The 22866-nt window shown below is 38.9% G+C and overlaps 1 protein-coding gene and 1 long non-coding RNA gene across 4 annotated transcripts in view, besides 1 other annotated feature; both read left to right on the top strand.

Annotated features, from left to right (window-relative positions):
• The window catches only part of C1QTNF3 (C1q and TNF related 3), a 226867-nt gene extending 213675 nt beyond the window's left edge, over positions 1 to 13192 (top strand). For all 3 annotated transcript variants that reach the window (NR_146599.1, NM_030945.4, NM_181435.6), the window contains 3 exons: positions 2167 to 2296; positions 7042 to 7141; positions 10308 to 13192. Coding sequence is in view for 2 of the 3 variants with exons in the window: in NM_030945.4 (NP_112207.1) it covers positions 2167 to 2296; positions 7042 to 7141; positions 10308 to 10467 (390 nt within the window). In the remaining variant the exon portion in view is untranslated. The remainder of the gene's footprint in view (positions 1 to 2166; positions 2297 to 7041; positions 7142 to 10307) is intronic.
• Positions 1 to 22866, top strand: part of C1QTNF3-AMACR (C1QTNF3-AMACR readthrough (NMD candidate)) — a 137543-nt gene that overhangs the window by 93479 nt on the left and 21198 nt on the right. Inside the window, exons 4-6 of the long non-coding RNA NR_037951.1 lie at positions 2167 to 2296; positions 7042 to 7141; positions 10308 to 10463. This is a non-coding gene — a long non-coding RNA (C1QTNF3-AMACR readthrough (NMD candidate)). The remainder of the gene's footprint in view (positions 1 to 2166; positions 2297 to 7041; positions 7142 to 10307; positions 10464 to 22866) is intronic.
• Positions 22784 to 22863: a silencer, noted in NCBI's record as "silent region_15964". NCBI's record gives its function as "represses an Ori minimal core promoter by ATAC-STARR-seq in GM12878 lymphoblastoid cells {active_cell/tissue: GM12878}" and the evidence as "EXISTENCE:reporter gene assay evidence [ECO:0000049][PMID:35858748]".

Genomic DNA, 22866 nt, shown 5'->3' with positions numbered 1-22866 from the left:
CATAGTTAAACTTGTGTCGTGGGGATTTGTTGTACAGATTATTTTATCACCAGATATTAAGCCTAGTACCCATTGGTTATTTTTCCTGATTCTCTCCCTCCTCCCACCTTCCATCCTCCCATAGGCCCCAGTGTGTGTTGTTCCCCTCTATATGTCCATGTGTTCTTATCATTTAGCTCCCACATATACATGAGAACATGCAGTGTTTGGTTTTCTGTTCCTGCATTAGTTTGCTAAGGATAATGGCCTCCCGTTCCATCCATGTTCCTGCAAGGGACATGATGTCATTCTTTTTTATGGCTGCACAGTATTCCATGGTGTATATGTAGCACACTTTCTTTATCCAGTCTATCATCAATGGGAATTTAGATTGATTCCATGTCTTTGCTATTGTGAATAGTGACAAAAGTTTTCTTGACAGGCGGAATTGTCTCAAGGCTTTTAAAATTATTGTTAACATTTTGTATTTTGAACTTCAACCCTGTCTTTGGATATTAGTAGTATAGAGGTGGCAACAATAGTAGTAGTGGTGGCAAGAGGAGGAAGAGTACTACCCCATTCTCCACTTAGGGGATATAGAAATTTGAGGCCCAATTACTAATTACTCAATTGCCAAGTGACAGAATTAAGAGAGGTGGACCTTAATCTCATATCTTTGGACCCAAATAGACAGCCTTATTCCCAAACTCATAGAGCCTCTTGGTTGCCACCGTGAGCAGGTTTCTCAAGTTAATTCTCTTTGCTGATCTTTTACTGATTAAGCAGAGGCTTTCAAAGTCCCTTAAAAGATTACACATAAAGTATTTGTAACCATTCCCAGAAATGGGTGTTGACCATTAAATGACTTCTTGGATTCTCCCATCTCTAAACTTTACAGTTCCAAGATGACATTTTTTCATCCAAAATCATGCTGAGAAATTTTTGCTGTTCTAATATTCAAAAAGATTGCTAATTTTAGTAAACCATTTTTCTATATTTTAGATAACTGCAAACACTCCTTTTTACCTTTTCAAGGTTATTTACGTAATATCTTTTCACTGTTAAAAAAAATTAGAAAAGTTCTGGGCCAAAAATAATAAAACATGCCAAGAGATGATTACTGTTAACATACAGTTATGTAACTTTTCAGATTTATGCATACTTATATACATGTTACTTTTAAATATGATGGGAACATATATACATATTATTACTTTATTTCATGAATGACAATCTATCCTAAATGTCTGTTCATATAAATAAATACAATCCTATAGCTTTAAAATTAGTATCTTTTTTCTGAATATAAAATTAATACATGCTAACTTGAAAATTATAAGTGTAATGAAGAAAGGAAAACTTTCCCATGAAACTTCTACCAAGAAAGACCTGCTATTAATAATTTCAAGAATATTCTTGCAGATATTTTTCTGAATTGCCCACACAATGACTCCATCCACACAGACACAGTTAATAAAGGCTGGTATCAGATAATAATGATCTTGTGTTGTCTACTTTTTGGGTAAACAGTGTATTGAAGATATTTTCTCCTTTTATACAGATGCACATTTAGATCAGCATCAAGAATTCTCAAAGTGTATTCAAAGAATTAATTTCATTAGAAATTAATAGGCTAGGCACCATGGCTCACGCCTATAATCCCAGCACTTTGGGAGGCCGAGGAAGGTGGATCTCTTGAGCCTAGGAGTTTGAGACCAGCCTAGGCAACATAGTGAGACCTCGTCTCTATAAAGAAAAAAAAAAAAAGAAATTAATAGGTATCTTTTCGGGAAAAAATAATGCAGGGTTACCAAAATTAAAATGTTTGGCTATAGGGTTTCTCAGGTCCTTGAATTTGCTAATGTGCATTTCTCGGCTATAAGTGGAAAATTTCATATAAAATTTTCTGGTATTATTTGATAACAGAATTTTAGTATTTCAAAAATCATTTGAAAGACAAATAATCTTTGAAACCTATGTTCAGAACTGTTGATAGACATTGTCAATCTAATGGCTGCATAGCATTCAAATGTTGGAATTACCATAATTTATTTGTTTCTCTCTCCATAGATTGATGTTTATTCCCAATCTTGCTGTTATGTATAATGTTTAACAAACTAATCTGCATAAAAACTTGACTTCTTTAAGATAAATTGCCTATTTATTGACCAATAATTCTTTCCTTAGATTGCATTCATGGCTTCTCTGGCAACCCACTTCAGCAATCAGAACAGTGGGATTATCTTCAGCAGTGTTGAGACCAACATTGGAAACTTCTTTGATGTCATGACTGGTAGATTTGGGGCCCCAGTATCAGGTGAGATGGAAACATAGGATGAAGATTGAGTTAATCAATGTAATAATAAAGACAATTAAGGAAGGAAGGAAAGAAGAGAGGGAGGGACGGAGAAAGGGAGGGAGAGAAAGAAGGAGGAAGGGAGTAGGAAATAAAGAATGACATTAAGGTAGTTATTTTTTTTCTGATTCACGTTAAACCAAACAGCTCATTTAGATTTCTGTTGGATTTCAAAGTAAACGAATTAGAATCTGAAAAGACAAAAATAGTTTTTAAAATATGGCCATAGTCATTAATATTATTAACTCTGATTTAGACTGAGCTAAATAATTCTTAAGAGGACATACTTACCTCTGACTTTAAAAGTCCTTAAAACATAATTCTCAGTTTAAATGTGTCATAACTGTTTCCTCCCCCTGCCACCACCTCAAGGAGTGCCTGATCCTATTTTTTTAATTAAAAGAAATTGAGCAGGTAATACATTTACTTATTTAAAAAGTTAAGGCCCGGCGCGGTGGCTCATGCCTGTAATCCCAGCACTCTGGAAGGCCGAAGCAGGCGGATCACGAGGTCAGTAGATAGAGACTATCCTGGCTGACATGGTGAAACCCCGTCTTTACTAAAAATACAAAATATTAGCCGGGCGTGGTGGCGGGCGCCTGTAGTCCCAGCTACTCAGGAGGCTGAGGCAGGAGAATGGGTTGAACCCGGGAGGCGGAGCTTGCAGTGAGCGGAGATCGCGCGACTGCACTCCAGCCTGGGCGACAGAGCGAGACTCCGTCTCAAAAAAAAAAAGAGCTTGTTTATGCAAATGAATACAAATATATCTTCTCATATTTCTAAATAAAAGCTAGGACACTCTACATTCTGATTGTGTCTTGCTTTAAAAAAAAAAACTAACAATATATTTTAGAAATCTTTTCACGTCATTACTTCATCTTCTTTCTTGTAGCTGAATGTACCAAAGTATATTTAATGAATTCCCTTATTTCTGGACATTTGGGTTGTTTCCAGTTTGCTTTTTTTTTTTTTTTTTTTTGGTGGTGGTGGATTTTTTTTGTTTGTTTGTTTCTAGACAGGGTCTCTATCAACCAGCCTGGAGTGCAGTGGCACCATCTCAGCCCACTGCAACTTCTGCCACCTCTGCCTGCCAAGCTCAAGCGATCCTCCCCACTCAGCCTCCTGAGTAGCTGGGACTGCAGACCCAGGCCACCACACCTGGCTAATTTTTGTAGTTTTAGTAGAGACGGGCTTTACCATGTTGGCCAGGCTGGTCTGAAATTCCTGGCCTGAAGTGATCCACCTGCCTCAGCCTCCCAAAGTGCTGGAATTACAGGTGTAAGCCACCATGCCAGCAAGAATATACCACTTTGTAATTGATCACTTACAGGTATATCTGTAGGCTAAAGTTTTAGGAATATTATCAGTATAAACATATCCATAATTTTTATCAATTTTGCCAAATTGCTCCCTGTAAGGGTTGTACCAATATACTTAAATTGTCAAGATATGAAAGCACTTATTTCCTGATAGCCTTATCAACAAAATGTGCTTTCAAGTTTCTGGATAGTTGATAAATAGAAAATCCCACTTTACAAACTTTTTACTTTGAATTAATTTTAGACTTATAGGAGAGTTATGAAAATATTATACAAAGTTCTCATATTTTGTTTAACCATCTTCCACTACTATTAACATTTTAAATAACCAAAGTGCAATTATAAAAATAAATAATGAACCTAGGTACAATACTATGACTAAATTATGGACTTCATTCAGATCTCACCAGGTTTTTCTGATGCCCTCAGCTTTTCATTCCATTTATTGTCTGGCCATTTCTACCATGGGTTCACGCCTTTTGTTCTATAATGTTCTTTTATAGAGGTATTTGCTTTATTAGTATAAATTCATGGCTACATTTTTCATCTACTACATGACAACATTTTTTCTTGGAGAGTATTGTTAATCCATTAGGGTCATTTTTGCTTTTCTTTTCTACTTTAAAAAATTAACTGAGGGTTGAATGAGTTTAATTTTCCTAGACCAGCCGTATGCTCTAGTTTCTTGGTGAAGAAAGGACCAGGGCAGTTTCTAGACTGGATAACTCAAAGGCTCCCTCCCCTGCTGCCAGGGGACTAACGGATTCTTTTAAGTATGGCCCTAATGTGCGTTTTTCTTGGTCACACTTCCACTACCTCTCCAGACTGCACCGGGTCCATGAAAGCTTCTGAAGCCAGCCTTATACTTCCTGGTTCCCTTGCCTTCAGGAGACTTTTTTTTTCTTTCTTTTCTTTTCTTTTCTTTTTTTTTTTTTTTTTGCTGGCAGATTTTGAGATTGGCCACTGCAGGTCCTCTTTCCACATCCTACACTGTATCTAGCAACCATCACCCCAAACACAGCCTTGCTTCCGCTCAGCCCTGTTCACAGGGACTTGTTTTCAGCATTGCTCTTCCACGTGGCCCTCACTATCAGGGAGTGCATTTCTCCTGGCACTGTGTGACACCTGCTGCCACCTGGCCTCCTCAGAGCCTGGCCCAACCTCGTGTTATCTCCACATGACTCTGTCCACCCTCAGGGGCATTTGGCAGCACTTACAGGTATTTTTGAAGTTCATTGATTTTCTTCCAGTCTCCTAGCGTTGCAGAACGTGGATATTTATTTGGTTTTTGTTTTTCAATTCTACTCATTTCTCTATATGGTATCCAGAATTAAAAGGAAGCAACTTCTGATGGAGGCAGTGGCCCTGTCAGATTTTCACAAATGCTTTTAAGTGCACCTTGATTTATTTTTTCTACTCAGTTTAAGTCAGAAATGAACTGAGATATGAAATGATAGAAGCAATCTTTCATCACACTTTAATGTCATGAAAATCATCTTTAAATGTTCTTGTGTGATTTTCTGCTCTGAAGGTTTATGTCATAATTTTCTTACAACTATTCTGTTAAATGCTATCTATGCCACAGATTACATTAATGCCTAGAAATACCTAGTCCACATTTCCATGGAATTAAATGGCTTTATAATTGAAGCCTAAGTAAGGATTTAATTTTTTAGAGCTCTCTTGGGCCAGACGTTCAGCTTCTAGTGATACCAACTGTCATTTGACTCTCACAGTTTTCTGTTTCAGTCTCCATTTTTGCAATAGATTGCAAAAAGACCATTTTGTCCTTTTCAACTTTGGGAGTGAAGAGACGGAGAAGGCTGGTTTTTGAAATTACAGCAACACAAAGACCTCCAAACCGTAGTGCAAATGTGTCTCCTCTGGTTTCAGTACCTTCCCTTGCAGGAAAGCCACATGTGGGTATAATACATACTCACTTCGGTATTTCCAACTCCAGGCATTTCATTTATTCACCATCTGGTGTTTTAGTCTCCTCTTTCTAACATGTTTTTGCAACCTATTTTTAATAGTAGTCATCATTTTGTAAGAAAAACTAGTATATTTTCCTGTCATTTTGATTTCAGCTTTATCTTCTTGAGGCATTGAAAATTATGTGTGTGTATGTGTCTAATAGGAAATTTTGTAAAATGTGAAAAACTAAACACATATAAACTATTTTCCTTGAGGCTTTTAATTTTTATCTGCCTTTACTTTTCCTCTGTGGGCCAATCTCTAGGCATATGAATAGGCATGATAAACTTTTAGGCCATTTCCTTTGTTCCCAGAACATTGAATATGCATTCCTGGCACTAGACAAAGCATCATCATACTTCTTTGTTTAATTTGACTTAGAATCAGGTGAATTGACATGGCACCCTTACAACTTTCATCTTACTTGATTGCCCTTTGAGAAAGAAATAGAACTATCTTCTATTAAAGCTATTTCTGGGTTATTGTCTTGAAAGGCCATTAGTTTAAAATGTAACATGGAAATCAGTAAGAGTTTGATGACTTATGTTCATTCACCTTTCCAAAATGCACACCAAAATCCCATATCATTTAGAGTTTGAAAAATTTTCCTTTTGTCTTGTCTGTGTGCTATTGGATTCTTCTTAATCATTCAGTGAAAGTATCTTGTGTGCTGGCATTTAGAGTATATTAGGTCATATTATATTGCTTTCAATTAGGAGCCCTAGGCTCTTATTAAAAAACTCAAATCTTTTAAAATATATGTTGGTCTTTTCCAAATGAAGAGGATACAGACTTTTAGTGACAAGGTCCTGTTGCTGAGTCTAAGTTGGGTCTTTCTGTTTATTGTACATAATTTCACCAACATACAAGGTATAGCATGAGAAATTACCAGAACCATTTCTTTAGAACTCATAAACATTTGTTCTGTGCTCCAGGATTTCCTCATCTTTGGCTAATCCCTTTGGTGAGTTTAATCATCTGTTATATTGTAATAGTTGCTCATTTTCTTAAGTCATGGAGCATCGTTGTTCAACCACAAACATCTCTGCACCTTGGTAACACGAGTTCTGTGGTACATGAGGATGATCGCTAACCTATGCCCAGGAACAACGCCTACTTTGCCCTAAGCACTTTGTCAGGGTACAAGGCAGTGAGATACAGTTAAAATGAGGTAGGCTCCTTCCCTTAAAGACTTTTAAGTCTTATTCGGGATACACAGTGTACACATTGAAAGCACTTGGAAGGGGAGTAGATATAGGGACATTCCTGCAAATTAAGGCCAAGGAGAGACACCATACTACAAAGAATATCAATAAAAGACATGTGAAGGCAGTTGGCAAATCTCCAGGTATCTCCAGGTCCTCAATGTATAACATGTTAATATCAACATGGATATATACCTGCTTTTTTCAGGTGTGTATTTCTTCACCTTCAGCATGATGAAGCATGAGGATGTTGAGGAAGTGTATGTGTACCTTATGCACAATGGCAACACAGTCTTCAGCATGTACAGGTGGGTGGTCTTTTCTGTCATGGGTCTCATCCATGCTGCCATTGTTTGTTCAAGGAATGCCTAATGACAGGGAAGCGTATAGGAGTCAATAGAGCCTGACATGGCCCCTATCCTTAATAAGAGCCCTCATGCACCAGTATGGCCACATTATCATCATTATTGTTTGGGAAAAAGTAAATCTGATGAACTTGAGCATCAGCAGGTTGATAAGAGGCCTTGCATTAATTACTAGCAGCACTCCCAATAACCAGTCATTTGGATTATTTTTATAACTCATTATTTTTCTCCTCTCTCTCTGCCCCTTTTTCTGCTTTCCCATTCTCCCATGCCCTCTGATGTTAGCTTGGAATGTGGCAAAGAGGCAGAGAGCCGACACCTTTCTTACAATTAAAAGGGCCATGAGTTATCTATGAAAAACTTTGTGGCTGTTATCATTTCCCTGTTATTTTTGATGATGTGTGATAATTGCTGTGTTTACTTCTGGAGCCTTCCTTACCTGAGTGGGAAGATGTATTTGAAATGCCAAAAGACAGGAAGATGAGTTAGGGTAGGTGAAATTGTTGCAAGTAAGAGATCCAGTTACTCTAACATGCTAGAAGTTGATTTTTCTTCACCAGTCCAGGGCAAGAGTTCCAGGTTGAGAAAGAATGAGGGGTTGTAGGAGAGGTGCAGGTTGGGAGTGGGTTTATTCTTCCTGTTTTTTGAGGAAGCCAGGCTGATGAAAGCAGCTCTGCTGTCTATAAAACTGACTTTGAGCCAGGCGCGGTGGCTCACGCCTGTAATCCCAGCACTTTGGGAGGCCGAGGTGGACAGATCACGAGGTCTGGAGATCGAGACCATCCTGGCTAACACGGTGAAACCCCGTCTCTACTAAAAATACAAAAAATTACCCGGGCATGGTGGCAGGCGCCTGTAGTCCCAGCTACTCGGGAGGCTGAGGCAGGAGAATGGCATGAACCCAGGAGGCGGAACTTGCAGTAAGCTGAGATTGCGCCACTGCACTCCAGCCTGGGCGACAGAGCGAGACTCCATCTCAAAAACAAAACAAAACAAAAAACAAACAAACAAACAAACAAAAAAACTGACTTTGAAATTCTCTCTGGTCATTGTCATTGCCAGAGTCAGAAGGAGAAAAGCTTGCTGTTGCAAGCTTGTGGAAATATTTATGGATCAGGAATTCTGTTCAGAGAACTTAGTCACATTGTTTTCCACCCAACAAATGCAAAGGTGACATGGAATTGCAGTGCCAATGGAACAGAAGAAAGGGGATTCTGGTGAACAGCTAACCTTCTCTGCCCACTGGCTTCCAAATATCTGCTGAATTCTTCTTCCTACACTTACAATACATGTCTCCCCATCTCCCTGTCCCTATGGGAGACAGCCTGTGAAGCACAAATAATGCATCCAGCTCAAAGCCCTGAGTCAGTCAATGAGTAGTCCTTTTTATCAGATTGGTTTGTTGGCTGTTTTTCTCTTTGGCTCCTGGTTCTGTCCTCTAGGAGGGTCTTCTTTATCTGCTTTTCTCTGTGGCACATCTGAAAGGTGAGCAGGGCCTCCTCGAGGCTCTCTCACAGCCCACTTCCTGCTGGTGCAAATTTGAAAGCTGAGTCAAACAGCCCAAGCCTCTGGAGTCTGGTTTTGTGTCTCTGGCAAACCCATTTCCTCAGAAACTTACTTGGCAGGCTTTTACTCTGTTTTTTACTCGATTTTACTCTATTTACTTAGCTGGCTTTTACTTCATTTGTTAAATAGATTAAGTGAAGTCAGTTACATGTGTTACTAAACCACACTCCATATACTTTTCTTGACAGTTTTCAGCCTGCTATTCCTTGTCTTCATGCCTTTCTCTCAAGTTAATGGAGTTACCCTGAGGCCTTCTAAAGCAATCGATTTGGGCAGAAAGGCAATATTTTTAATCCATCAGATTGTGCCACAGCTGTGTCTACTTGATTGAATGAGTAGTCTTTTTTTATTATGATTTTACTTTAAGTTCCAGGATACATGTGCAGAATGTGCAGGTTTGTTACACAGGTATACATGTGCCATGGTGGTTTGCTGCACCTATCAACTCATCATCTAGGTTTCAAACCCTGCATGTGTTAGTTATTTGTCCTAATGCTCTCCCTCCCCTTTCCCCTCACCCTGCCACAGGTCCTGGTGTGTGATGTTCCCCTCCATGTGTCCATGTGTTCTCATTGTTCAACTCCCACTTATGAGTGAGAATATGCGGTGTTTGGTTTTCTGTTCCTGTGTTTGTTAGTTTGCTGAGAATGATGACTTACAGCTTCATGCATGTCCCTGCAAAGGGCATGAACTCATTCTTTTTTATGGCTGCTGAATGAGTAGTCTTAAGGAAAAAACATCAACTTTATCACTGCTCTTCCAGATATAAAGACACCTGGCTTTTTTAACCTTGTTAGGCCCTAATCACGTAGACATTATTTACTTCCTTTTCTTCAAACAAGTCAGTTTTTGCCTAACTCATCTTTGGTAGCAACATCTTTCTAAAAGCAGCAAAGAGTACTTTGGCTTTTTCCAGTCACTTCCCTTTCTTACCCTACAGGCATTAGATCTGTCTTCCAAGTTATCACATTTTCCAAATGTTTTTGCACAGTGTAACATGGATCTTCTGCTTTCCCAGACCATGATATTTGTTTCCCCATTGCTCCTTGCCTGACCATGAGCCAGTGCAAGCCTATTTTTATTTGGGTTGCGGAGCAGCCTCCTTTTGTACCAAATTCTAGCTTGGTTAGGGGAAGCTAAATTACTGTAACAAAAACCCAGTGGAATAGCTCAAACATAATATAACTTTCTTTCCTTCTCATCAAACAGCCCAAGGTTGTTCCAGGTTGGAGCAGAGAAGAGAGAGAGCTCTTTTCCACATGGTCTCCAAGAACCCAGTATTCAACATATGGCTTCTAAGATCATTCTGGTCATTGTCATGAACATTCCAGACAGTCATAAGAAGGAGCAGGGAGGGGTTTTGTGAGAGTGTTACTAGCCAGCTTTAGAAGTGGTACATAGGTCATTTCTGCTCACAGGCTGTTTAGAGAACTTAGCCGCAGGATTATACCTGTGGGAAGGAGAGAAGGGGAGCACAGACTTTGGTGAAGAGCTGGTTGTTCATGGCAAAAACTAAGTAGTTTGTTCCTCTTTTTCTTTCCAGCTATGAAATGAAGGGCAAATCAGATACATCCAGCAATCATGCTGTGCTGAAGCTAGCCAAAGGGGATGAGGTTTGGCTGCGAATGGGCAATGGCGCTCTCCATGGGGACCACCAACGCTTCTCCACCTTTGCAGGATTCCTGCTCTTTGAAACTAAGTAAATATATGACTAGAATAGCTCCACTTTGGGGAAGACTTGTAGCTGAGCTGATTTGTTACGATCTGAGGAACATTAAAGTTGAGGGTTTTACATTGCTGTATTCAAAAAATTATTGGTTGCAATGTTGTTCACGCTACAGGTACACCAATAATGTTGGACAATTCAGGGGCTCAGAAGAATCAACCACAAAATAGTCTTCTCAGATGACCTTGACTAATATACTCAGCATCTTTATCACTCTTTCCTTGGCACCTAAAAGATAATTCTCCTCTGACGCAGGTTGGAAATATTTTTTTCTATCACAGAAGTCATTTGCAAAGAATTTTGACTACTCTGCTTTTAATTTAATACCAGTTTTCAGGAACCCCTGAAGTTTTAAGTTCATTATTCTTTATAACATTTGAGAGAATCGGATGTAGTGATATGACAGGGCTGGGGCAAGAACAGGGGCACTAGCTGCCTTATTAGCTAATTTAGTGCCCTCCGTGTTCAGCTTAGCCTTTGACCCTTTCCTTTTGATCCACAAAATACATTAAAACTCTGAATTCACATACAATGCTATTTTAAAGTCAATAGATTTTAGCTATAAAGTGCTTGACCAGTAATGTGGTTGTAATTTTGTGTATGTTCCCCCACATCGCCCCCAACTTCGGATGTGGGGTCAGGAGGTTGAGGTTCACTATTAACAAATGTCATAAATATCTCATAGAGGTACAGTGCCAATAGATATTCAAATGTTGCATGTTGACCAGAGGGATTTTATATCTGAAGAACATACACTATTAATAAATACCTTAGAGAAAGATTTTGACCTGGCTTTAGATAAAACTGTGGCAAGAAAAATGTAATGAGCAATATATGGAAATAAACACACCTTTGTTAAAGATACTTTCTAAACTTGTGTTTAATAAACTTTAATAGTCATAGAATTGTAAATCACTATGGTTAACAGAAAGTGAAAATATTTTCATGCAGATGATGTGAACAGCCATGTGAATAGGTGACTTGGGCACACAGCAGGGTCATATGACTTCAGAAAACTTCGCTTTTCAGTTATTCCATTGTTATAATGTCAACCCTTTAAGACATTGATGTTTAGAGGGCTCACAAATAAAATCTGAATACCTGTAAGGAAAGAGGTTTTTTATCACATACCTTAAGTCTTTGTAATGTTCATGCTTAAATTCTAAGTTTTCACCTTAGTGACACACAAGGTTTGGTTGTAGGCAACAAGTCCCAGGTGTGTGGGAAATTGATTCACAACAGAGATGGGAAAAGGTGCAGATAATTTCCAATGCCTTCACAATTTACCCATGACCAGAAATATACTTGGAAGACTGATTTCACAAGTGTCCCAAAACTGAGATGCTAAAAAGGAAACAGTAGGTAGGTGTCATAGGAAATTTACATGTACCATCTAATAAACAAACTTGCAAATTCTAAATCTTTTTTTTTTTTGAGACAGTTTCACGCTGCTGCCCAGGCTGGAGTGCAGTGGCATGATCTCAGCTCACCGCAGCCTCCGCCTCCTGGGTTCAAGTGACTCTCCTACCTCAGCCTCCTGAGTAGCTGGGACTACAGGCGCCCACCACCAGGACCAGCTAATTTTTAATGTTTCTAATAGAGATGGGGTTTCACCATGTTGACCAGGCCGGTCTGGAACTCCTGACCTCAGGTGATCTGCCTGCCTCGGTCTTCCAAAGTGCTGGGATTACAGGCGTGAGCCCCCGCACCCAGCCGCAAATTCTAAATCTTAAAACAACTCTGCAAACGAAGCACTTGAGTTTCTGCTTGCTTCAGGGATGTAATATGGTGTAGAACTGTTTCACATAATGATCAGCCTTGGTAATTTTCCAGTGTAGAAAACATTATATTTGACCCTTGGACAACAAAGAGATTATATTGAAGGAATTTTATTGATTGTATCATGAATAAAAGCTGAAGTCAAAATTAAAATGTAAAAAAATAATTCAGAGGATGGAATATGCAAATGTAAACTCCAAATGATGTGGCTGGAATTCATAAACATTTACTTTATGCAAGATACTGTGCTATTCCAGGCACTCCTATGGCATTTAAAGTACAATTCTTACCTTCCCTAATTTTTCAACCTAGTAGAGGACAATAGGCTAAAGGGAATAAGTACATGGATAACAAAACATAAAGTAGAATGTTTTTACAGCCATAGAAGGCAAAGGGCTAGGAATTCACAGGAGAGAGAAACAGTATCTAGCTGAGAGCATAAGAAAAGCTTGTGGAAAAGATAATATCTGATGGCCAGAGACAATTTCTTGCTTTGGTATGTTTGAAGTGTTATATTTAAATATATATATTTTTATTTAAAAAACTCACTATAGAAAATTTATAAAATTCCCCAAAATATTTAGTATAAAATTAATCATCCCATCAAATATTAAATAATATTACTATTTTAAAGTGTTTATTTCAGTCTTTTCCTGCATGTATTTATGGCTTTTATTTTTAAATATAGTAATAAAATAATTTGAAATTAGCTTTTTATATATTTTTGTATCTTGCTCTAATGGGTTGGACTAAACATATTAAGAACACTCTCAAATGCTACTAAGGACAATTTGAAAACATAATTTTAATGACTGCATAATTTATTTAACTTTCCTGTTTTGGAAAATATTATTTTTTTTTTATTACAAATAATATGTCATGAGCATTCTCTTTTTAAAAAAATAAACTATGTGTGCATATAATTATTTCCTTTGATTAAATTTCCAGAAGTGAGATTATTTGGTAAAAAAGCCTAGACATTTTAAAAGCTGTTAATAATGTCACATTTAAAAAAAAAAAATAGCTTAAACTTATGTAAGGAGGGACTTTATTCAAAAGGATTATTGCCATAAGGGGAAGGTGACTACGACAATAGGGAAAAGGCTCTGAGATCTATGAGATCTGTAGCTCAGAGGACAAACACAAATAGGCTTTCTTTTATGGAGAGAAGTAAACAAGAACTGGGTGCAGGGGATGGGATGGGTGACAGGTATGATGGGACATTGACTAGGGAACACTTTTTCCTGAGTTCAGCCAGTTCCCTGAAGGAGGGGCCTCTAACTTTAACATGGCTCCATGTTCCAGTGCCCAAAGTGGGCCAAAGTTTAGGTACCTGGGCAAAGGGGAAAAGCCTTACTAAACTTTGGTCAAGTCAAGTTAGTTTGCATTTTGCCCAGATCGAACAGTTCAACGAACACTTCAGCTATTTATAAGACAAAAAAAGTGGGAATTTAGAGGGTCTGTGCCTGGTCATGTTCTATGTAAACAAGAAAGTTTTAAGTCATAAGAGAAAGCATGATTGTTTGCAGCAAGCCATTTCCCAGAACAAAAGGGAAGGAGGATTTTTAAAGTTCCTTTCCAAAAACACGGGGCTCAGGTAAGGTTCAACATTGCCAATAAATATTGTCAAGTTGTCCTCCAAGAAATCTGCACTTCTACTAGCAATATTTGAGAATGCTAGAAATGCTGCAGATAGGTAGGATTGTGATTCATGAGGATGGGAGACAAAGTGTTCTATGCAATGAAAAACAGTTTGGAAAAAAAAAGAGGCAGGGAAATTGCAAGCTCTTTGTATGCAACAGCATAGTGTGCAGTCAGCCTGGAATGAATTGCTGATACAGCGTTAAAGCAGGTACGGCTAGAAAGGGAGACAGAAGGAATGCCATAGGCTTTCAATGCCAAGGTGAGACCTACACTTAAATTAGCAGCTAAAGAATCACTGTTAAATTGTGATCAATATTTTGATGTAACCAGGGCTAAGTTTTAGGAAAATCAATCTGCTGAAAATGGGAGGCTTTGAGGTGCTCCCATTTTTTTTCTTTTAAAGACAAGCATTGATTATGTCAACCTTACAAAAAAAGACACTAGAAAAAAATTAAATATGTTGGCTTTACTTGGTAATAGAAATAAGTATTATAATCTGAATGCATGGAATGGCAAACCATGAGTACATTTGGTGAGGCAAGGGGAAGGGGAACTTTTGTTAGCAAAAAAGGTTTACATAAGCTGCTTAGAAACAGAGTTCGTTGGTCCTAGAGGTTGAAAGCCAGAGTTGTTAGCAGTTTATGGATGGAGACGCTGTTAGTGGGCAAGTGTTCTTGAGAACATCATCTCTGAATTATTGCAGTCCTGGAGAATGTCTAGTCATAAACCAAAGGGTTTTTAGAAAGTTCTTGGAAACGGTTTTTCTTATCTCAGACATATAAGCACGAGCATCCTCTTTTTCGGGCTTTACCAGCTCTATTTTGTCTGGGTCTGATGAAAGTGATTTCATCCTGGTATCTGCAACTTTCACAGCTAGCTAATGCTGAACATACATCCCACCCTCTCCCCACCACCCCCGCACAATTTCTTCTCCAAATGTTTATTGGACAGTGCAAGGTAAGGAGGCACAACCCCTGTTTGGATGGTAAGTGTTAATCCAGTGGAATGGACATAGCAACACCATGCTTTGCAGAATGCCTTAAAAATACTCTCTACCCTTATTTCCCCTGCAGAAACCCCACAAAACACACCCACTGTCACTCATTTTGACTCTTTAGTGTCACAGCAATATTGTGGAATAAGAAAGAAGTCTCTCCCCTCTTGGCATAAATGAGTTACTTTGGGCAAGTTACTCAATGTCTGTGCCTGAGTTTCCTCGCTTGTAAAATTGGGTTGTCTGCTAGCATGTACCTCAAAGAATTGTTAAAAGAGAAATTAGTTACTGCATGTTTTAATTATTTAGTGATACATAACGACCACAAACTAACAGCTTAAAATAGCACACATTCGTTGTTTTATGGTTTGTGTGGGTCAAGAGTCCAGGCATGGCTCAGGCAGATTCTTTGCTTCAGAAGCTCTCACAGGTCTACCGTCATCAACGAGGGCTGGCTCATCTGAAAGCTCAACTAGAGAAGGCTCTGCTTCCGTGCTCCCTAGTGTTGCTGGCAAAACTCCATTTGTTGAGGGTGTTGGGTTGAGGGCCTCAGTTCTTTGCTAGCCATTGTCTGGAAGCCACCCTCAGCTCATTATGATATGGGCTTGTCCAATGAACTGCTAACTTCATCAAAGCATGGAAACTGAGAATATGATGCAGAAAGTCTGCTAGCAAGACAAAAGCCACAACAGCTTAGAACTTAATCATGGAAGTGACATCCCATCACCTTGTGGTATTCTGTTGGTTGGAAGCAAGTCACCAGGCCAGCCCAAACTCAAAGGGAGGGGGTTTCACAAGGCCATGAATTCCAGGAGGAGGGGATCAATTGGGCCATCTTAAAGTTAACCTTAGATTGCCCTCCAGCCCCTAATGACTCAAATAATTCCCACATGCAAAATACAGTCATTTTCTTGCAAGGTCCTCAGAGGTCTCACATCATCATCATAGCATCATCTCAAAGTCTAGAATTTCATCTTCTGCATCATGTCCAGATATGGGTGAGGCTTTTTGGAAGTAATTCTTCAGTCCAGCTCCTCGAGTACAGTTACTTTTGATCTGCTAACCTGTGAAACAAAAAAGAAAAGTTATTGGCCCCCCACATCTAATAAAATAGTAGGACAGGAAAATACATATAACAGGTGTAAAAGTTTCTATTCAAAAAAGAAGGGAATGAGAGTGACAAAGGCCAAAGATTCATAGCAATTCTTAAATCCAGTTGGTCAGAAATTATAAGTTCCTTGATTAGCTTTCAAGGCCTATAACACTTCAGCATGTATCTCAGAGAGATTAGTTTAAAAAAATATAACCATAAAAAGAAAACATGGGCTGGGCGAGGTGACTCATGCCTGTCATCCCAGCACTTTGGGAGGCTAAGACAGGTGGATCGCTTGAGCCTAGGAATTTGAGACTGGCTCTATTTAAAAAGAAAAAGAAAAAAAACAAGATGATAACCACAAAAAAAAAAATTATAAACTCAAAAGGAAAAAAATTCTTAATATTATCAAGTATCCAGTCAGTGTTTAACAATATCCCAATTGTCTTACAAATACCTTCCTACTGTATGTTTGGTTAAATCAGGATTTCAAACAATATTTGTATATTACATTCGATTGATGTATCTAAGTCTTTTTAAATGGGCAATAATTTCTTGCTTATTTATCATTTACTTTCTAACATTGTGGATTTTGCCAATTATATCCTTTGGTTTATCCTCTATCCTCTATATTTCCTATAAGTAGATGAATAAGATGCCTTGATTAAATTTAGGCTTCAGATTTTTGCAGAAAAACTTCATATGTGGTTCTGTCCATTGCATCATACAGGGAGGTACATAGTGCCCTATTATATTGATATTAAAGTTATCAGTGGATTCAGGATGTCAAAGCCAGATTTATACATTATAAGTTCCCTGCTATGGACTGAATGTTTGTATCTCCCCAAAATTCACATATGGAAACCCTAATCCCCAGTGTAATGGTATTTGGTGATGGGGCCTTTGGGAGGTGATATGGTTTGGCTGTGTCCCCACCCAAAAAATCTCATCTTGAATCGTAGTTCCCATAATCTGCATGTTTTGTGGGAGGGACCCAGTGGGAAGTAATTGGATCACAGGGGCAGTTTTCCCCATGCTGTTCTCATGATACTGAGAGAGTTCTGACAAGATCGGATGGTTTTATAAGCACCTGGCATATCCCCTGCTAGCTTTTCTCCTTCCTGCTGCCTTGTGAAGAAGTGCCTTGATTCCCTTTCACCTTGAGCCATGATAGTTTCTTGAAGCCTCCCCAGCCATGCTGAACTGTGAGTCAAACCTCTTTCCTTTATAAATCACCCAGTCTCAGGTATTTCTTCATAGCAGTGTGAGAACGGACTAATACAGGATGTGATTAGGTCAGGAGGGTGGGGTCCTCATGATGGGATTAGTGTCTTCATGGGACATGAGAGAGAGCTTGCCTCTCTCTTTCTCTCCCTCGCACTCTCTACCTTGTGAGAACATAACAAGAAGCCACAAAGAGTGCCTTCACCAAGAACTGACTCTGCCAGCACCTCGATTTTGGACTTTCCAGCCTCCAGAACTGTGAGAAATCAATGTCTGTTTAAGTCACCCAGTCTATGGTGATTTGTTATAGCAGCTGAAGAGACTAAGACATTTCCCCCTTTAGCTTTTTGCCTAATGTTTTCAGCAGCCACTTAGGATTATAGCTGAAATCTGCTATTTCATTTGGGGTTGCAAATAGTGAAAGTTTTAAAGACAGATATTCTTTCATTAGCTATTTGGTTATCCTGAAATACCATTCATATGGAGGGCAAGATAAATATTCAACTTTTACAATAAAAAGTTGGTGCCCTAACAATCTCCAGCAGGGATCAATGAAGGCTTTAAAAACCATTATTGTGAACTCATGAATGTTCATAGTATTTGATGTGTTTTAATCCACCACAGTCATTATTCTAGTTTAACAGGCTCCATCTTAATTGTCAGTGGGAAGCCCTTCAAGTTAGTCCCTCTGCCCATTTGGGTCAGATTTAGGCTGGTGCCAATCCTGCACAGCTGGCAGGAGTTCAGCAGGGCAGGGGTGAGTGGAGTCTCTGTGCAGACTCTCCATCCTAACCAGACATTCATGCTGCAACCTTGAATGTGACTCTAGCAGCTCAAACTATTCTGTGCCCTGCCAATTGCCTGAATTCTGGCTTTCCCAGCAATTCTATGAGCTACTTGGTATCCTTCCAGTGAACTTTTTTTTTTGTATTTATGCCAAGAATCCTGATGGATCTAAGAGGAAGTAGTAGAAATGGGAAGCCAGTTAACATAAAATTGAGTGGTAAGGTAGTTTAGAAAAATAAATGCAATATAATATACTTTATCAAATAAAAAACAAAATAACATTTTGACAAAACAAAACATAGTATATAAATAGTACAGCTATGTCTGCAGATAGATATAATGGACTGTAGGACATACATCAAAGTCATGGGAGTGTTTGTCTCTTTTTTTTTTTTTTTTTTTTTAAACTGAGTCTCACTCTGTCACCCAGGCTGGAGTGCAGTGGCATGATCTCATCTCACTGCAACCTCCACATCCTGGTTTCAAGCAATTCTCCTGCCTCAGCCTCTGGAGTAGATTACGGGGGCCACCATGGCCAGCTAATTTTTGTATTTTTGGTAGAGATGGGGTTTCACCATGTCGGCCAGACTGGTCTCAAACTCCTGACCGTAAGTGATCCACTCACCTCGGCCATCCAAAGTGCTGGGATTACAGGCATGAGCCACCGCACCTGGCTGTGTTTACCTCTTGAATGCTGCGGTGGGGGAGGCAAAGAAATCTCACTACAGGTGAAAGTTAAAGAAGACTTTAGCTATGGAAGGAGTTTAAAAGCAGCTTGCATGATGATGCATTTACCCCCTTACTACAGGGATGCCCTGAAAGAGAAAGAAAAAGGCAAGTGAATCTCCATATTAACTGGATTTTGTGTAAATAGATGCATGATATTGTCTAGGAGGAAGAGAATTGAAAGACTGAATGCACTTAACAAGATATCCCTGGCCAAAGGATTATTTATGGTAAATAAACCCGGAATCTAAGAAGCATGGTTCCATAGCTAAAGCAATTCTCTGAGATATAAAATGAAGTCTATTAGGTGACCTGAGAACCTCGTTAGAGACTTCATCTGTAATTTGGGCAGAGGGGTTATTCGTTTACTAAGGCTGCCGCAATGAAATACCGCAGACTGGTTGGCTTAAACAATAGAAGTTTAATTTATCACAGTTCTGGAGGATAAAAGATCAAGATGTTGGCAGGTTTGATTTCTTCTGAAGCCTCTCTCCTTGGCTTGAAGACAGCAAGTGTCCTCACTTGATCTCACTGTGTCCTCACATGGTTCCCTTAGGTCTGTGTTTTTTTGGTCCTAATCTCCTCTTCTACAGATACTAGGATTGAATATTAGTCATATTGGATGAGGGCCCACCCATATGACTTCATTTTGGCTCTATCTCTAAATACAGTCACATTCTGAGGTATTGACGGCTAGGGATTCAACATATAAATTTTTATTGATTTATTATTAATACATAATATTCGTACATATTTATGGAGTACATGTGATATTTTGATACATGCATACAATGTGTAATGATCAAATCAGGGTTTTTAGGATATTCATCACCCAGAACATTTATCATTGTTTTGTGTTGGAAACATTTCAAATCTTCTCTTCTAGCTTTTTGTTTGTTTTTGTTTTTTTGTTTTGTTTTGTTTTCTTTTTGGAATAGGATCTCACTCTGTCTCCCTAGCTGGAATGCAGTGGTGTGATTATAGCTCACTGAAGCCTCAAACTCATGGGCCCAAGTGATCCTCAGACCTCAGCCTCATGAGTTAGTAGGTTTATAGGTGTACCCCACATCCAGATAACTTTTCAAGATTTTTTTTTTTTCAAGACAGAGTCTTGCTCTGTCGCCCAGGCTGGAGTGCAGTGGCACGATCTCAGCTCACTGCAAGCTCCGCCTCCCTGGTTCAAGTGATTCTCCTGTCTCAGCCTCCCTGGTAGCTGGGATTACAGACGCGCACCACCATGCCCAGCTAATTTTCATATTTTCAGTAAAGACGGGGTTTCACCAATTTTTCAAGTTTTTTGTAGAGATGGGGTCTCACTGTGTTGCCCAGGCTGGTTTCGAACTTCTGGCCTCAAGTGATCCTGCTGCATCAACCCCCCAAAATGCTGGGATCACAGGTGTGAGCCACTGCATCTGGCCACTATTTTGAAATATACCATATACTGTTGTTAACTATAGTCACCCAACTGTGCCATCAAATACTATTATTTAGCTATTATTTATTCCTTCTAACTACATGTTCATACCCATTATCCAATCTCTTTTCATCTCTGCCCCCCCATCATTCTACTCTTTATGAGATTAAATTTTTAACTCCCACATCTGAGTGAGAACGTGTGATACTTTTCTTTCTGTGTCTAGTTTATTTCACTTGACATAATGACCTCGAGTTCCATCCATGTTGCTGCAGATGACAGGATTTCATCCTTTTTTTATGACCAAACAATATTTCATTGTGTATATGTACACATTCTCTTTGTCCATTCATCCAGTAATGGACACTCAAGTTGATTCCATATTTTGGCTATTGTGAATAGTGCTGCAATAAACATGTGGGTACAGGTGTTCCTTTGACATACTGATTTCTCTTAAGATTTTTATCAAGACAATATGTGCACAGCTGAACATAGACCCTTATCAGGAGTTTTTGATTTTGCCTTTTGCCTTGTGATCTTTATTGGCCTCAGAAGCATGTGATCTTTGTTCTTCTTGTTTGCCCTTTGAAGCATGTGATCTTTGTGACCTACTCCCTGTTCTTAAACCTCCTCCCCTTTTGAAATCCTTAATAAAAACTTGCTGGTTTTGCGGCTCAGGTGGGCATCACGGACCTACCAATATGTGATGTCACCCCTGGTGGCCCAGCTGTAAAATTCTTCTCTTTGTACTCTTTCCCTTTATTTCTCAGACTGGCCGACACTTAGGGAAAATAGAAAGAACCTATGTTGAAATATTGGGGGCGGGTTCCCCCGATACTTTTGGACATATATCCAGTAGTGGGACTGCTGGATCATATAGAAGTTCTATTTTTAGTTTTCTCACAAACCTCCATACTGTTTTCCATAATGGCTAAACTAATTTACATTCCTACCAACAGTATATATAAGTTCCTCTTCTCTGCGTCTTTGCCAGCATTTGTTATTTTTTGTCTTTTTGATAATAGCCAGTCTAACTGAAGTAAGATGATATCTCATTGTGGTTTTGATTTGCATTTCCCTGATGATTAGTGATGTTGAGCATTTTTTCATATACCTGTTGGCCATTTGTATGCCTTTTGAGAAATGTCTGTTCAGATCCTGTGCCCACTTTTTAATGAGATTATTTCATTTTTTGCTGTTGAGTTGTTTGAGTTTCTTGTATAGTCTGCATATTAGTCACTTGTTGGATGAATAATTTGCAAAATATTTTCTTCTATTCAATAAGTTGTTTATTCTGTTGTTTCTTCTGTTGTGCAGAAGATTTTTAGTTTAATATAGTCCCATTTGCCTATTTTTTGTTTTTGTTGCCTATGCTTTTGAAGTCTTAGTCATAAAATCTGTGCCTAGGTCAATGTCCTGAAGTGTTTTATCTGTTTTCTTATAGTAGTTTTATAGTTTTGGGTTGTATGTCTTAAGTTTTTTAATCCATTCTGAGTTGATTTTTGTGTATGGTGAGGGATAGGGGTCTAGTTTCATTCTTCTGCATATGGATTTCCAGTTTTTCCAGCACTACTTATTGAATAGAATGTCCTTAATATATGTTCTTGGTGTTTTTATTGATAATCAGCTGGCTGTAAATATATGGATTTATTTTGGGGTTCTTTATTCTGTTCCATTGGTCTTTGTGTCTATTTTATGCCAATAGAATGCTGTTTTGGTTACTACACCTTGGTAGTATAATTTGAATTCTGGTAGTGTGTTGCTTCCTGCTTTGTTCTTTTTGTTCAGTGTTGCTTTGGCTATTCAGGACCTTTTGTGGTTTTATACAATTTTTTTTTCTATTTCTATGAAGAGAAAGCCACAGAGTCCTAAAATAATTCTAAAACTCATCATGACTTTCTTGCCTAAAAGATCTTGATTTCAATCGTGCCTAGTTTTGCTTTAATCACTTGCTTGAGAAATACATAAATCCCCACTTAAGATTAGTGCAGGCATATCTCTGGCACCCATTTCTGGTTCTATTAAAATTCCTAGAGATGTCAAAAATTACATTAGGCCACCTGACAGGCTATACCTAGAAGAGAAAAAATGATTTGTAAAAGCAGTGGGGCTATTTGCGATTGCTTTTTTTTTTTCTTAAATATCACCTATTAGGTTGAAAACCTGAAATTGCAGCTTTCTGTAGAAATGGCGGAAGACAAACTAACATTTTTAAAGCGCTCTCATTTAGCTCTGATGAGTACTACACCCCTGATATTCTTCTGATACTAAAATAATTTTCCTAGTGTAGTCTAAACTTTTTTAAAAAGACATGTAATCCGCGGAGTTTGTAACTCAAAACGAGTGCATCTAGGAGGTATCGCAAGCCGTTTCTGGATTAAATTCCCAGCTAGCTAGCTAGCTAAGCAGGGGCGGTGAAGAAGACAATCTGCAGCCTAGGGAAGAAAACGCTTTCGCATTGTTCTTACGTGTTTACGTTATTTTATTTCCCTAGAGCAAGGCAGGAGTAGGGACTCGAATGGTACAGTTGGGCTGGGGATCGCCCTGGTACAATAAAAGCGTCCAGAGAGGACGGTAACAGGCAGGAGCTCCAAAGGTCAGTCCCTGCAATTTAAGACTCAGGAATTTAGGTTGCACAAAAAGGAAAGCAACCTACTGCATTTGGCACTGGCGGTCCCGGGAGGCCGGGGGTGGGGAAGCGCCCAGTGCGCAGACT

This window comes from Homo sapiens, chromosome 5 (genome assembly GCF_000001405.40).
Source record: "Homo sapiens chromosome 5, GRCh38.p14 Primary Assembly".
In the NCBI taxonomy this organism is placed as follows: domain Eukaryota; kingdom Metazoa; phylum Chordata; class Mammalia; order Primates; family Hominidae; genus Homo; species Homo sapiens.
The sequence above is the reverse complement of the archived record's forward strand: the minus strand, read 5'-3'. Positions and strand labels throughout refer to the sequence as shown.